General features: G+C 35.8%; 1 protein-coding gene across 12 annotated transcripts in view; it reads left to right on the plus strand.

Annotated features, from left to right (window-relative positions):
* The window catches only part of YTHDC2 (YTH N6-methyladenosine RNA binding protein C2), an 81,591-nt gene that overhangs the window by 42,987 nt on the left and 24,639 nt on the right, over window positions 1–13,965 (plus strand). For 11 of the 12 annotated variants that reach the window (XR_246540.4, XR_948288.3, XM_047417527.1 and 8 more), the window contains 6 exons: window positions 4,400–4,505; window positions 6,693–6,812; window positions 7,179–7,451; window positions 9,213–9,339; window positions 10,412–10,617; window positions 10,974–11,169. Coding sequence is in view for 9 of the 12 variants with exons in the window: in XM_047417527.1 (XP_047273483.1) it covers window positions 4,400–4,505; window positions 6,693–6,812; window positions 7,179–7,451; window positions 9,213–9,339; window positions 10,412–10,617; window positions 10,974–11,169 (1,028 nt within the window). In the remaining 3 variants the exon portion in view is untranslated. Of the gene's footprint in view, window positions 1–4,399; window positions 4,506–6,692; window positions 6,813–7,178; window positions 7,452–9,212; window positions 9,340–10,411; window positions 10,618–10,973; window positions 11,170–13,965 lie in introns of those variants that run through there. The other variant, XR_001742200.3, reaches the window with a different exon arrangement.

Genomic DNA, 13,965 nt, shown 5'->3' on the forward strand with positions numbered 1-13,965 from the left:
CTTTCATATTTTACTGATGGGAGTATAGATTGGTGTGACTTCTTCAGAGTGCAATTTGAAACTATTTATCCAAATCTACTCTTTGACCATAGATTCCACTTGTCATAATTTATCCTGAGTATGCTTGCACACGTGTGCAAAGATGTATGTTTAAGACTGTTCTTTGAAGCATTGTTTATAATAATGTAAAGTCTGGGAACAGTGTGATGTCCATCAATACTGAAGTGATTAAATAAATTATAGCCACACAGTGGCTTTCTGGGTAGCTGTTAAAAGGAAAAATGTAGATCTGTGTGTTCTTATATGGAATGAGTTTTCAGGATGCATTGTTAATTGAAAGGATACAGAACATGCATCTAGTAGTCTTTTGTGGTAAGAAAAATATATGTGTGTTTGTGTATGTATTTTGACACAAATGCATCGAGAAGTCTGGGAGAAACATTAAAAAACAATGAATGATTGTTAACTCTGAGAAGGAGGATTTGTGGGGTTCTTGGAGTAAGGAGACAATTTTATTTTTTTTGTAATTTGGTTATTTTACTAAGTGTTTGGGTTACTTTTTAATTTTCAAAAGATAACATTAAAAAGTATCATTTTCAGTAAATATTTATCTTGCATTTTATTATAATTAGCAGGAAAACATGAAATGCTGACTTTCAAAGAATGCCTCATATACTGAAGACTCATGTGCATTATTTCTTTACTTTGTAACTTCATAGAATGCCCATGAGGGCTTTGTTGTTGTTATGTCAGTTGTTTTCTTATGACCAATAGTGGCTTGATACATTAAGCTGGATGTCCCTGCTATTAATAGTATATTATTGTGGGTAAGGCTGGGTGTAGTGGCTTATGCTTGTAATCCCAGCACTTTGGGAGCCTGAGGTGGAAGGATCACTTGAGTCTAAGAGTCTGAGACTAGCCTGGGCATCATAGTGAGACCTTGTCTCTACAAAAAATTAAAAAATCAGCTAGGTGTGGTGGCACAGGCCTGTGGGCCTAGCTACTTGGGAGGCTAAGGTGGGAGGATCATCTGATCCTGGGAGGTCGAGGCTGCAGCTGCCGTGAGCTGTGATCATACCACTCTACTCCAGCCGGAGCGACAGAGCCAGACACTGTCTCAAAAAAAATAAAATAACAAATAGTATATTATTGGAGATGAAGGCCAGAACTGCAAAAATTTTCATTGCCATTTTTCAACAAATGTTTATCAAAAGTCTTCCCTGTGCACATGTTACGGATAGTGATAAATAAACCATAGCCTGATAGGTAAAGCTGGAGGTAGGGCAAATGTTGCAGTCCATGTGGGAGTCCAGTAAATTAAGCAATTTTAATACAGTGTTATTTGTGCTACAACTGGATGTTTCCAGAGTTGTTAAGAATGAATCTGAGACAATTGTGAATAAAGGGGGAGGCATTTCTAAAAGGCAGAGGGAAAGTATAACCAGGTATACTTATTTGCCTAAAGGCAAGAGTGAATAGGGAGGATGTTTGGATAGAATTTAGTTTAGAGAATAGTGAAAAATGAGCTGAAAGTTGGGGACAAGTTTTTAAGGACCATTTTGAGTTTTCTCTCTTTTTTAAAAAAATAAACAGTGGGATGACATGAGTATAGTATTCTTTCAGCTCTCTGAAGAATGGATTGGCAGGAACAAAAATGATGGTAGGAGGACCCAGTAGGAGGCTTCTTCATTAATACTTTCCTATAATAAGGGAGAGATGAAAGTAGTCTGGATTGTTTTAGTGGTGGTGGAAATAAAAATAAATAGATAATTAATTCAAGAGATACTAAAGAAAGTAATGTTGGTGATTGATTGTGTATGTAGGGGGTGAGGGGTAAGGAAGAGAGTGGAGTTAAGGATGTCATCCAGGTTTCTGTCTTAAAAAATCGGACAGTAGTGCCATAGTCAGATAGGGAAAATTGGAAGAGTGTTTTCACTGGAGAGAATAATTAATTTTTGGTTATTTTGAGTTTGAGTTGCCTGTAGAAAATCGAAGTGGATTGGGAGGCTGAGGCGGGCAGATCACAAGGTTAGGAGTTCAAGACCAGCCTGGCCAACATGGTGAAACCCTGTCTCTAATAAAAATACAAAAATTAGCCAGGTGTGGGGGTGGGCACCTATAATCCCAGCTACTCAGGAGGCTGAAGCAGGAGAATCGCTTGAACCTGGGAGGCAGAGGCTGCATTGAGCCGAGACCACGCCATTGCACTCCAGCCTGGGTGACAGAGCAAGACTCCGTCTCAAAAAAAAAAAAAAAAGAAAATCTAAGTAGAGCTGTCTAAGAAGTTTCTCAAGTATAGGCCTAGAATTAGGATAAGAAGATATAATACAGATGGAAATTGAGGTTATGAATATAATTAAAGTTCCTTCAGGGGAGAGGGTAGTGTAAGAAGAGCAGATGGCTAAGGGTTCAATCTCAGAGGACCATAAACATTTAAGGACTAGGCAAATATAGAAATCTCTTAGAGGAGCCTGGAGGTAAGTCAGAGGCTGAAGGGTGGGTATAGTGTAGGGAAGTATAAGGGGTCTTCAAAAACTTTATGGAAAATGCATCTTATGAAAAAAATTATGCATGGAGTTCAAAAATTTTTTGCACCAAAATAAACTCATATTAACTTGTTATAACGTATCTGAACAGGATCTCATTTGAGGCACTAAGAAAGATAAGACATCAGTTTGAAAAAAGCCCCTACCAGAGCAACATGAATTCTTCTAAAATTGAAGTAAGAGCAAATATCACATTTATGGTGACAGTGCCCTGAAGAAATCAACAGTTTACAAATGGATAACTCATTTTAAGAAGGGATGAGATGATGTTAAAGATAAAGCCCATAGCACCAGACTGTCCATGTCAATTTGTGAGGAAAAAGAAATCTCATTTGTGCCCTAGTTGAAGAGGACCAACAATTAACAGCACAAAAATAGCCAACACTGTAGATATCACAGTTGGTTCAGGTTACCCAATTCTGACTGAAAAATTAAAAACTGAGCAGACTTTCCACTTGATGGGTGCCAAAACCATTGCTTCTAGATCAACTGCAGACAAGAGCAGAGCTTTCAATGGAAATTTTAAACAATTGGAATCAAGGTCCTGAAGCATTTCTTGGAAGAATTGTAACAGAAGATGAACCATGGCTTTACCAGTATGATCCTGAACACAAAGAACAACCAAAACTGACTACCAAGAGGTAGAAGTGGTCCAGTCAAAGCAAAAGCGGACTGGAGGTCATGGCAACAGTTTTTTGGGATGCGTAAGGCATTTTGCTTATCGAGTTTCTGGAGGGCCAAAGAACAGTAACTTCTGCTTATTATGACAGTGTTTTGAGAAGAGTTAGCTAAAGCTTTAGCAGAAAAACCCATAGGAAAGCTTCACTAGAAAGTCCTTCTCCACCACAGCAATGCTCCTGCTCATTCCTTTCATCAAACAAGGGCAATTTTATGAAAGTTTTTGTGGGAAATCATTAGGCATCCACCTTATAGTCCTGGCTTGGCTCCTTCTGAATTATTTTATTTTCTAATCTTAAAATACCTATAAAGGACTCCCATTTTTCTTAGGGTAATAATGTAAAACTGCATTGACATGATGACATTCCCTGGACCCTCAGTTCTTTAGGGAGGACTAAATGGCTGGTGTCATCACTTACAAAAGTGTCTTGAACTTAATGGTTGAGAAATTTTATTTTTTTCTCTTTTAATTCCATTTTTCCACAAACTTTTTGAAGTCCTCTTGTATTTGATGAAGGAAAGAGTTGATCAATAATGTCAGATTTTATAGCTCTTATAATGTGTTATAGTGATGATTGCCTATCTGGGTTGTGAGCTCCATGAAGACAAGAATATTTCTATATCTCTATCCCTAAGCATAGCTAGCCCTGCCATTAGCTGATATAGTGACTTTGGGTGAATTTAGGAGACTGCTTTTCTTCCAGGTATTTTTCTGCTGCTTCATAGAAAATTATGCAAGTCTTTATGATGACAGGATAAATGGCATTCCCTTGGAGCTGTGTAATGCATAATTTGTATGACTCTAATCACTGGGCCTGAACACAGTGCTTGATATAAGCTCAGTAAAATTGATTGAATTTAAATTACCAATATTCATTCATGCTTTGTTTTTTGCTCACTTTTATATGTATGCTATTTCTTTTGATTTTTACCATAACCCTACAAGATGTATCAGGTAGGTGTCCTTCATGAATCTCACTGTCTGAAATAATTGAGACCCAGACTAGTGAAGTGCTTTCCAAAATGATTGATAAGAGGATAAGAAACAGAATAGGATTTAAACTCAGGTATCCTGATCCTGGATCATTTTTCTCTTTCCTAAATCACATTGCGTTTACAGTTTATTGTAGCCTTTATTCGTTGTTTGAGTCCTAATCTTGTACTTTATTTTTAAGGGCAGGGCGATGTAGACCTGGAATTTGTTTTCGTCTGTTCAGTAGACTCCGATTCCAGAATATGTTGGAATTTCAGACTCCGGAACTTTTGAGAATGCCATTACAGGTAAAAATTTATTTAAATATAAAAGGCATTTTTTTGGGTGAGGGAAGTGAGGGGCCATTTCAACTTCTATGGATTAGGCCTTTAAAAAATCAATTTGTAAAACAAAATTATTCAATATATATTATGGAGGGTGGCTATGTCTATAACAAATATTTTTTCTATATAAGAAAATTTAATTCATAAACCATCAAAATTTTAAAGAATCACTTGAATATTTAAATTATGGTACAGTTTTAAAGGATATATATATATTTTTTATCTATCTATCTATCTATCTATCTATCTATATTTTTTTTTTTTTGAGTCAGAGTCTTGCTTTGTTGCCCAGGCTAGAGTGCAGTGGCGCGATCTCGGCTCACTGCAACCTCCACCTCCCGGGTTCAAGCGATTCTCTGGCCTCAGCCTCCCGAGTAGCTGGGATTACAGGCGCCCACCACCGTGCCCAGCTAATTTTTATATTTTCAGTAGAGACAGGGTTTCACCATCGTGACCAGCCTGGTCTCAAACTCTTGACCTCATGATTCACCCGCCTCAGCCTCCCAAAGTGCTGGGATTACAGGTGTGAGCCACCGCACCCAGCCATATTTTTTTAAATGCAGCATTTTATGAGTTTCAACTATATAGTGTTCACCTTTTAAGTTCTCAGAGGGATTAGCAAACAAATTATTTAAGGTCCAAAAGATAATATCCAAATCTCACTATAAGATGCTGAGATTATCTAGTAGTTTTAGAACTGAGTTCACTGAGATTTTCTGACCTCTATTAATTGTGGGTGTGTGTGTGTGTGTGTGTGTGTGTGTGTGTGTGTGTGTGTTTTAAGTTTTCTAACTTCATGGAACAGCCAGACCCTATAGCTTCTAGGGAAGATTAGCAGAATGCGTTTATTTGATTCTTTAGTGTGTTTGGCTAATGCTGGCTTCCCAACCCTTAAAGAGAGGCAGGATAATGTGTTAAACATCCATATACCTAAGATGATTTCCCACTTCCCAATGCTTATGTGTGATTTTCTGTTCCTCCTGGGAGAAAATTCAGAATCCTTAACAAGAGCATAAATTGCCTGTTCCTGCCTGTATTAATTGTGGGTGTGTGTGGGTGTGTGTGTGTGTTTTAAGTTTTCTAACTTCATGGAACAGCCAGACCCTATAGCTTCTAGGGAAGATTAGCAGAATGCATTTATTTGATTCTTTAGTGTGTTTGGCTAATGCTGGCTTCCAAACCCTTAAAGAGAGGCAGGATAATGTGTTAAACATCCATATATCTAAGATGATTTCCCACTTCCCAATGCTTATGTGTGATTTTCTGTTCCTCCTGGGAGAAAATTCACAATCCTTAACAAGAGCGTAAATTGCCTGTTCCTGCCTGTGTCTCCAGTCACAGGAAGGAAGGAACAGGTGATTTCTTGTTACTTATCCTCTCTTACACCATTGGTTTTAGTTTCTCAAGCACGTCTTTTTTCCTTCTGCCTTACAGCTTTCACAGGTATCTACTCTCTCCTTAGATTGTTTCCCCTTATTCCTTATATAGTTACTCCTACTCAATCTTTACATCTTAGTTTAAGTGTCTTTCTTCAGGAAAACTATCTGTAACTTCCCATGGTCTCCCTCTCCCACCCTTTTCTGAACTTGCTTAAATCATATTTACTTATTTAGCTCCCTATAGCCTTCATAGCACTGACGATAATCGTAATTAAGTAGTTAATTATATAATTAATTATTTAAAGTCTGCTTATTCATATTACAGTGTAAACTCAATGAGAATGGACACTTCCTTCTGTCCCCTTCTTTTTCTCCAATTTGCACAGGGCCTTGCACTTAGAAAGCACTTAAATATTTGCTGAGTAGATAAAATATTCTAGAATGTAGTAAGTATAAAGGGGGGAAAAGATTTTTTTTTTTTTGGACAGTGACTATGAATGTTATGTATACGAACAGTGTGAGGAGATGTTGCCAATGGGAGCAATGGCAATCTTGGTATAAGTTGATTGAAGAGGGTATTTATTAAGGTTCTGGCATCTAGGGCAAAGTATGAGCTCATCTTTTACAGAAAGACATTGTTCCTTCTACTGTTCATTCTAATCAGAGACTCTACTAGTCTGTGTTTGGGAACTGTAGTTCCCATGATTTCTTTAAATGTGTAGGTTAGTATTCTTTTTAATTTTAAAAAATTATTTACTGTTTTGGTTTATAGGAACTTTGCTTACATACCAAGCTGTTAGCCCCAGTTAATTGTCCCATTGCTGATTTTCTTATGAAAGCTCCTGAACCTCCACCAGCTTTAATTGTAAGAAATGCTGTACAAATGCTTAAGGTTGGTGTCTTCATAGTTTTATTTTACATGACATTTTTACTTGAAATTTTAAACTAAAAGGAAATATGTCTTAACTAATTTTGTATAATTATTTTTTATTTTTGTCCTCCTGCATGTGTCCAGATAAACTAATTTTGTACTTTTAAACAATTATCTTAAATGATCATGTACTTTAAATAATATTGTCATGTATGAAACAGTAGATATAGTTCTTTTATATAGTATAATAGAAACGAAATATATTTTTATGAGATGTAGTAGCAAAAGAAAATCTATATTCTTATTTCTCATTTAGGGGTTTTTAATTATGTGTTTTGATTAAACAGTTTGCTCACATCAAAGTCTGTTCTGTCTCCTTTTACTTAGACAATAGATGCAATGGATACATGGGAAGATCTGACTGAACTTGGGTATCATTTGGCTGACTTGCCAGTAGAACCACATCTTGGTAAAATGGTCTTGTGTGCTGTTGTTTTAAAGTGTCTGGACCCCATCCTTACAATTGCTTGCACACTAGCTTATCGAGATCCTTTTGTACTACCTACTCAGGCCTCTCAAAAACGTGCAGCTATGCTTTGTAGGAAACGTTTTACTGCAGGAGCTTTCAGTGACCATATGGCACTTCTCAGAGCATTCCAGGTACTATTACTGTCATTTTATTTCTGAAGACGTTGCTGGGTAAACACGTTTCTGGGGCAAATGTAGGAATTTTAAAAATAATTTATAAATTTTAAAATTGCATTAATTTTGTTTCATTATGAAGTCACATTAATAGTCCTGAAAAATATCTTCTTGCTGTTGTTATGTTAAAATTAAAACAGTTTTGCTCTTTTTTCCCATTTTCTCCTTATAGGAATATATGTGTGTATTTGTATATATATTTATTTGTGTTTATGCTTCTATTACCAGGTTTCTTTAAATCATGTCTTGGGCAAGGAATGTTCTAAAATTTCAGTTAAGAAATACTGTATACTATTTAAAGTACATAGAATAAAGCTTATAAGAAAATTATATTGATGTAATATCTATCGATTTTTCTTAGAGTTCAGCCTTTTTCTTGTTTGCTCAAGACACTATGCTGAGAACTTAATTTTGTAAAGCAAAATACAAAAATCACTTAAAAACCTTTTAAGATAATGGTAATGGCAAGTTGAGGAAAGAGGCAAATGGAAAAGAAAAGATGGGGAAAATAGGATCCTGGGGAAGACAAATTAAATGTAATTTAGAATTTCAGATATGTGGGGAAGAATATGTTATTTCTTGAAAACATAGGCATTGTATTTATTCTCAAATCTTCTTGAATGTCGACTGTGTCTATACATTTTTTTGTTGTTGTTTTTTGAGACAGTCTTGCTCTGTCACCCAGGCTGGAGTGCAGTGGCACAGTCTTGGCTCATTGCAACCTCAGCCTCCCAGGTTCAAGCAGTTCTCCTGCCTCAGCCTCCCGAGTAGCTGGGGTTACAGGCACCCACCACCATGCCCAGCTAATTTTTGTGTTTTTAGTAGAGACAGGGTTTCACCATGTGGGCCAGGCTGGTCTCGAACTTCTGACCTCAAGTGATCTGCCTGCTTTGGCCTCCCAAAGTGCTGGGATTACCATGTGTGAGCCACCATGCCCAGCCATATTTTTTAAAAATCTAACTTTGTTTATGCAGAAAGTACTCTTTTTCAGACACAGAAGATTTTTTCACCACATATAATTTTCAAAAATAATTACAAGCTCTTTTGTGAGTATTGATCAATGGATAACTCATTGTTATTAATTGGGTATATTAAATACCATATATTATAGTAGATAGTTGAGTGAGAAGTAGAGGGAGATTTAGAGTAGAATTTCTATCTGTTCTTTGCTTTTCCCCCAGCTCCTTCAAAAGCAGAGAGGATAAATTATTGCTTCAGTCTTTTAGTTATATATATACCAAAGCAAGAGAACCTATTCACAGAGGAGAGCTTTTTATACTGCATATAGATGATTTATAGAAATCCTACTTTCCATTCTTAGGTAGAGTCCAGGGTTGACATAGAGATTATTTTTTGGAGGACAAGAGTGGCACGATTCTTAGATATAAGTGTTAAGAAGTCTTAGTTGAAAACCTATACTTTTGTAGAGAGTAAAATTAGCAGATGCATCTGAGAAGGCAAATATTTTTACATTGTTAGTCATTTAGGCTACTTGACACTTAGTTCTCTTTGCGATTTTATAAACTCAATGGCTTTTTTAGCATTTGAGTATAAATTAATGATAAATATTATTTGATCATAAAGTCTTAGATTTTATAGAAAATTAGAATAAGGCAAATTCACGTCGAGGAATTCGTGTAGTGATTTGTAGTTACTTGTTGCCTCACTAAGAAGCGATTAGTAAATGTGTCTTGTTATGCAATTATTCTCTTTTTATAGGCCTGGCAAAAAGCACGAAGTGATGGGTGGGAGCGAGCCTTTTGTGAAAAGAATTTTCTTTCACAGGCTACTATGGAAATAATCATAGGCATGAGAACACAGTTGCTTGGTCAACTTAGAGCATCAGGTAAAGTTTTTCCCTCAAAGAGCCTATTTAAGTTACTGAGAGTACCCTGCCCATATTTCATAGTATTTCTTATGTTAACTGATGCCATCTATTATTTTTATGACATTATCATGTTGTGTATCTTATATTCATGCATGATTTGTAGACTTCGATATGTCTTCAACTTTTGCTTGTTGATGAAAAAATGCTATTGCAGGAGGTGTATTTGAGAAATCTAGGGACAGAATCTATATGCTTGTGATACTGTTGGCAATGAACAATTTGTATTGGTTGGCAGAGATCAATTTAGATCTTATAGTTATTTTCTTTTATCACCATTAATGAATACTTATTTAGTTCTGTGAAATAGAAATTTTAAAAAATTGATATGAATGCTGCTCTTCATATTTTTGGAACACAAAAACAGCTAGTAATACTTGAAGTCACCTTTTTTTTTTTTTTTTTTTGAAGAGGATGCTAGTATTGCTATTACCTTTTAGAATTGCCTTTTTGAGTAGCAAAAAAAAATTGATGTGGTAGTCAGAAGAATAGTACCAGAGCCTGGATTCATGGGTTAGCTGAAGTGCCAGAGTAATATAAGGAATGAACCAGAGGACTTAAGAGTTGACTTGAACATAAGGAAATATGAAGGACTTTTGAAACTCAAGCAAAAATTACCATATATTTACTTGACTTCATCTACAGAATTAGTATCTATCATAACCAAAATGTTGTTAATAACAGTCAGAAGAATGGTTTGGGTTTCCAGCTATGAATTTAGTTTGTTTCTGGCAGCAGATTATGAAGAACTTTATTGCAAGAATGTGGATCTAAAAAAATTTAAGCCCCAAGTGATTCTTATACTTAATCTAACCTGAGCAGATCTACACTTCCCTAGAATGTTGGTTCTGTATCTGTTTTAGGGTGGGGAGGGGTGGTTCATATTTTAAACAACTTTCCAGAGGAGATTCTATTAATTATCGTGAAATTTGAATATCACAAAATTTACATGAGTTGTACAAGTTTTTGGAAAAAATACACAAAAGTATCTTTTGCACAATAGAAAAATTGGTGTGGTTTTTTTCCCCTCTAGGTTTTGTTAGAGCACGAGGTGGTGGTGACATTCGGGACGTTAACACAAACTCTGAGAATTGGGCTGTCGTTAAAGCTGCATTGGTGGCAGGCATGTATCCTAATTTAGTCCACGTGGACAGAGAGAATCTAGTGTTGACAGGGCCAAAGGAGAAAAAAGTACGATTTCATCCTGCTTCAGTTCTCAGTCAGCCTCAATATAAAAAGGTAAAAGATTTTGAATGCTGTTGGGTTTTGAGGTGAAACTAATTTAGGTAGTTCACTATCAATGAAAAATGCTCCAAATACCTGCCTGCTTTAAGAAATTAATTAGTTATATATATATATATATATATATCATTAAATATTGGAACAAAACTTATAAATTTTAGAGTTGGAAAAGGTAACATGTTAAGTAATGAGTACTTTTGTACGAACTACATGAGCGATGACTTGTTTTAATTTTTGCTTACGTACTAATATACATCATCTATTTCATTGAGAGACTTTACATTTTAAAAGTATTTCCAATAAACTAGGTGATAAACACAATTAACAATTTTTAAAATTTATTTTCTTAATAGATTCCTCCAGCCAATGGTCAAGCTGCAGCAATTAAGGCACTGCCCACAGATTGGCTTATTTATGATGAAATGACCAGAGCCCATAGAATAGCTAATATTAGATGTTGTTCAGCAGTGACGCCTGTCACTATATTGGTATTCTGTGGACCAGCTAGATTGGCAAGTAATGCTCTTCAGGAACCTTCATCCTTTAGAGGTAAATGTATTAAGGAAATAAAAATCTATTTGAAATGAATTTTTTTTTTTTACCAAATAATGAAATTATTTTACTAAACCAAATAATGAAATTATAAAGATTTATATAGTAGCAGCTCTATTTTGATGTACTAAGACTAATTAGGAAATACTAAGGTATACTACTGTTTTTGAAATTTATTTATAAGGTAACTTGATGTTTATTTGTGCATTTTTTATTAATCTTGCTGTTGGGAAGAAATTTTTCTTTTCCACTTGAATTTAAATGATAGTTTAACGTAAATAAAGTTAATTGTAAAAGAAATAATAGCCACCCATAATCTCATTTTTCTCATGCTAACACTTTTTAATGTTATATTTTTTCTACATGTTTACATATTTTAAATTATTTCACCCAAACTGTTATTTTATATTTTGTTATTTTCATTACAGAGATATCAAAAATATTTTTAGTATTTTATATTAATGACTGCAAAATAGTATATCACATTGAAGTGGCATAATGCATTTTTTTCCTTCAACTTTTATTTTAAGTTCAGGGGTACATGTGCAAGATGTGCAGTTTTGTTGCATAGGTAAAGGTGTGCCATGGTGGTTTGCTGCACAGATCATGACATCATGTATCTATCAAGCCCAGTGTCCATTAGCTATTCTTCCTGATGTTCTCCCTACCCTCTACCACACACCCCCAGTAGGCCCCAGTGTGTGTTGTTCCCCTGTCTGTGTCCATGTGTTCTCATCATTCAGCTCCCACTTATAAGTGAGAACATGCGGTGTTTGGTTTTCCATTCCTGCATTAGTTTGCTGAGGATAATGGCTTCCAACTTCAGCCATGTCCCTGCAAAGGACATGATCTAATTCCTTTTTATGGCTGCATAGTATCCCATGGTGTATATGTACCATATTTTCTTTATCTAGCCTACCATTGATGGGCATTTGGGTTGATTCCATGTCTTTACTATTGTGAATAATGCTGCACTGAACATACAAATGTACTTATCTTTATAATAGAATGATTTATATTCCTTTGGGTATTTACCCAGAAATGGTATTTCTGCCTCCAGGTCTTTGAAGAATCACCATGCTGTCTCCCATGGTGGTTGAATTAATTTACACTAGTGTAATTTAATTACACAGTAGTGTAAAAGTGTTCCTTTTTCTCTACAACCTCACCAGCATGTTGTTTTTTGACTTTTTAATAATAGCAATTCTGATCTCATTGTGGTTTTGAATTGCATTCCAGTAATGATCAGTGACGTTGAGCTTTTTTTCATATGTTTGTTGGCCACATGTACATCTTTTGAAAAGTGTCTGTTCGTGTCCTTTGCCCACTTTTTAATGGGTTGTTTTTTCTTGTAAATTTGCTTAAGTTCCTTGTATACTCTGGATATTAGACCTTTGTCAGATGGATAGATTGCAAAAATTTTCTCCCATTCTGTAGGTTGTCTGTTTCCTCTGATGATAGTTGTTTCTTTTGCTGTGCAGAAACTTTAGTTTAATTAGATCCCATTTGTCAATTTTTGCTTTTGCTGCAATTGCTTTTGGCGTTTTTATCATGAAATCTTTGCCTGTGCCTATGTCCTGAATGGTATTGCCTAGATTTTCTTCGAGGGTTTTTATGGTTTAGAGTTTTACATTTAAGTCTTTAATCCATCTTGAGTTAATTTTTGTCGAAGGTGTTAGGAAGGGGCCCAGTTTCAGTTTTCTGCATATAGCTAACCAGTTCTTTCAGCACCATTTGTTAAATAAGGAGTCCTTTCCTCATTGCTTGTTTTTGTCAGGTTTGTTAAAAATCAGACGGTTGTAAGTGTGTGGTCTTATTTCTGAGTTCTCTATTCTGTTCCATCATTCTATGTGTTTGTTCTTATACCAGTACCATGCTGTCTTGGCTACTGTAGCCCTGTAGTATAGCTTGAAGTCGGGTAGCGTGATGCCTCAGCTTTGTTCTTTTTGCTTAGGATTGTCTTGGCTATATGGTCTCTTTTGGTTCCATAAGAATTTTGAAATCGTTTCTTCTAAGTCTGTGAAGACTGTCAGTATAATGGGAATAGCATTGAATCTGTAAATTTCTCTGGGCAGTATGGCCATTTTCATGATATTGATTGTTCCTATCCATGAGCATGGAACGTTTTTCCATTTGTTTATGTCCTCTCTGATTTCTTTGAGCAGTGATACGTAGTTCTCCTTGAAGAGGTCCTTCACTTCCCTTATTAGCTGTATTCCTAGGTATTTTATTTTACTTTATTTTATTTTATTTCATTTTTTTGAGATGGAGTCTTGCTCTGTCACCCAGGCTGGAGTGCAGTGGCACAATCTCAGCTCACTGTAACCTCCGCCTCCTGGGTTCAAGCAATTCTCCTGCCTGAGACTCCTGAGTAGCTGGGATTACAGGCACGCACCACAATTCCTGGCTAATTTTTGTATTTTTACTAGAGACAGGGTCTCACCATGTTGGGCAGGGTGATCTTGAACTCCAGACCTCAAGGTGATCCATCTGCCTGCCTTGGCCTCCCAAAGTGCTGCAATTACAGGCGTGAGCTATCATGCTTGGCCTTTTCCTATGTATTTTATTTTTGTTGCAATTGTGAATGTGAATTCATTCATGATTTGGCTCTCTGCTTGCCTGTTGTTGGTATATAGGAATGCTAGCAATTTTTGCACATTGATTTTATATCCTGAGACTTTGCTGAAGTTGCTTATCAGCTTAAGAAGCTTTTGGACTGAGATAATGGGTTTTCTAGATGTAGATCATATCAACTACAAACAAAGATAATTTGACTTCCTCTTTTCCTATTTG

The sequence above is a fragment of the Homo sapiens genome, chromosome 5, assembly GCF_000001405.40.
Source record: "Homo sapiens chromosome 5, GRCh38.p14 Primary Assembly".
NCBI classification, from domain to species: domain Eukaryota; kingdom Metazoa; phylum Chordata; class Mammalia; order Primates; family Hominidae; genus Homo; species Homo sapiens.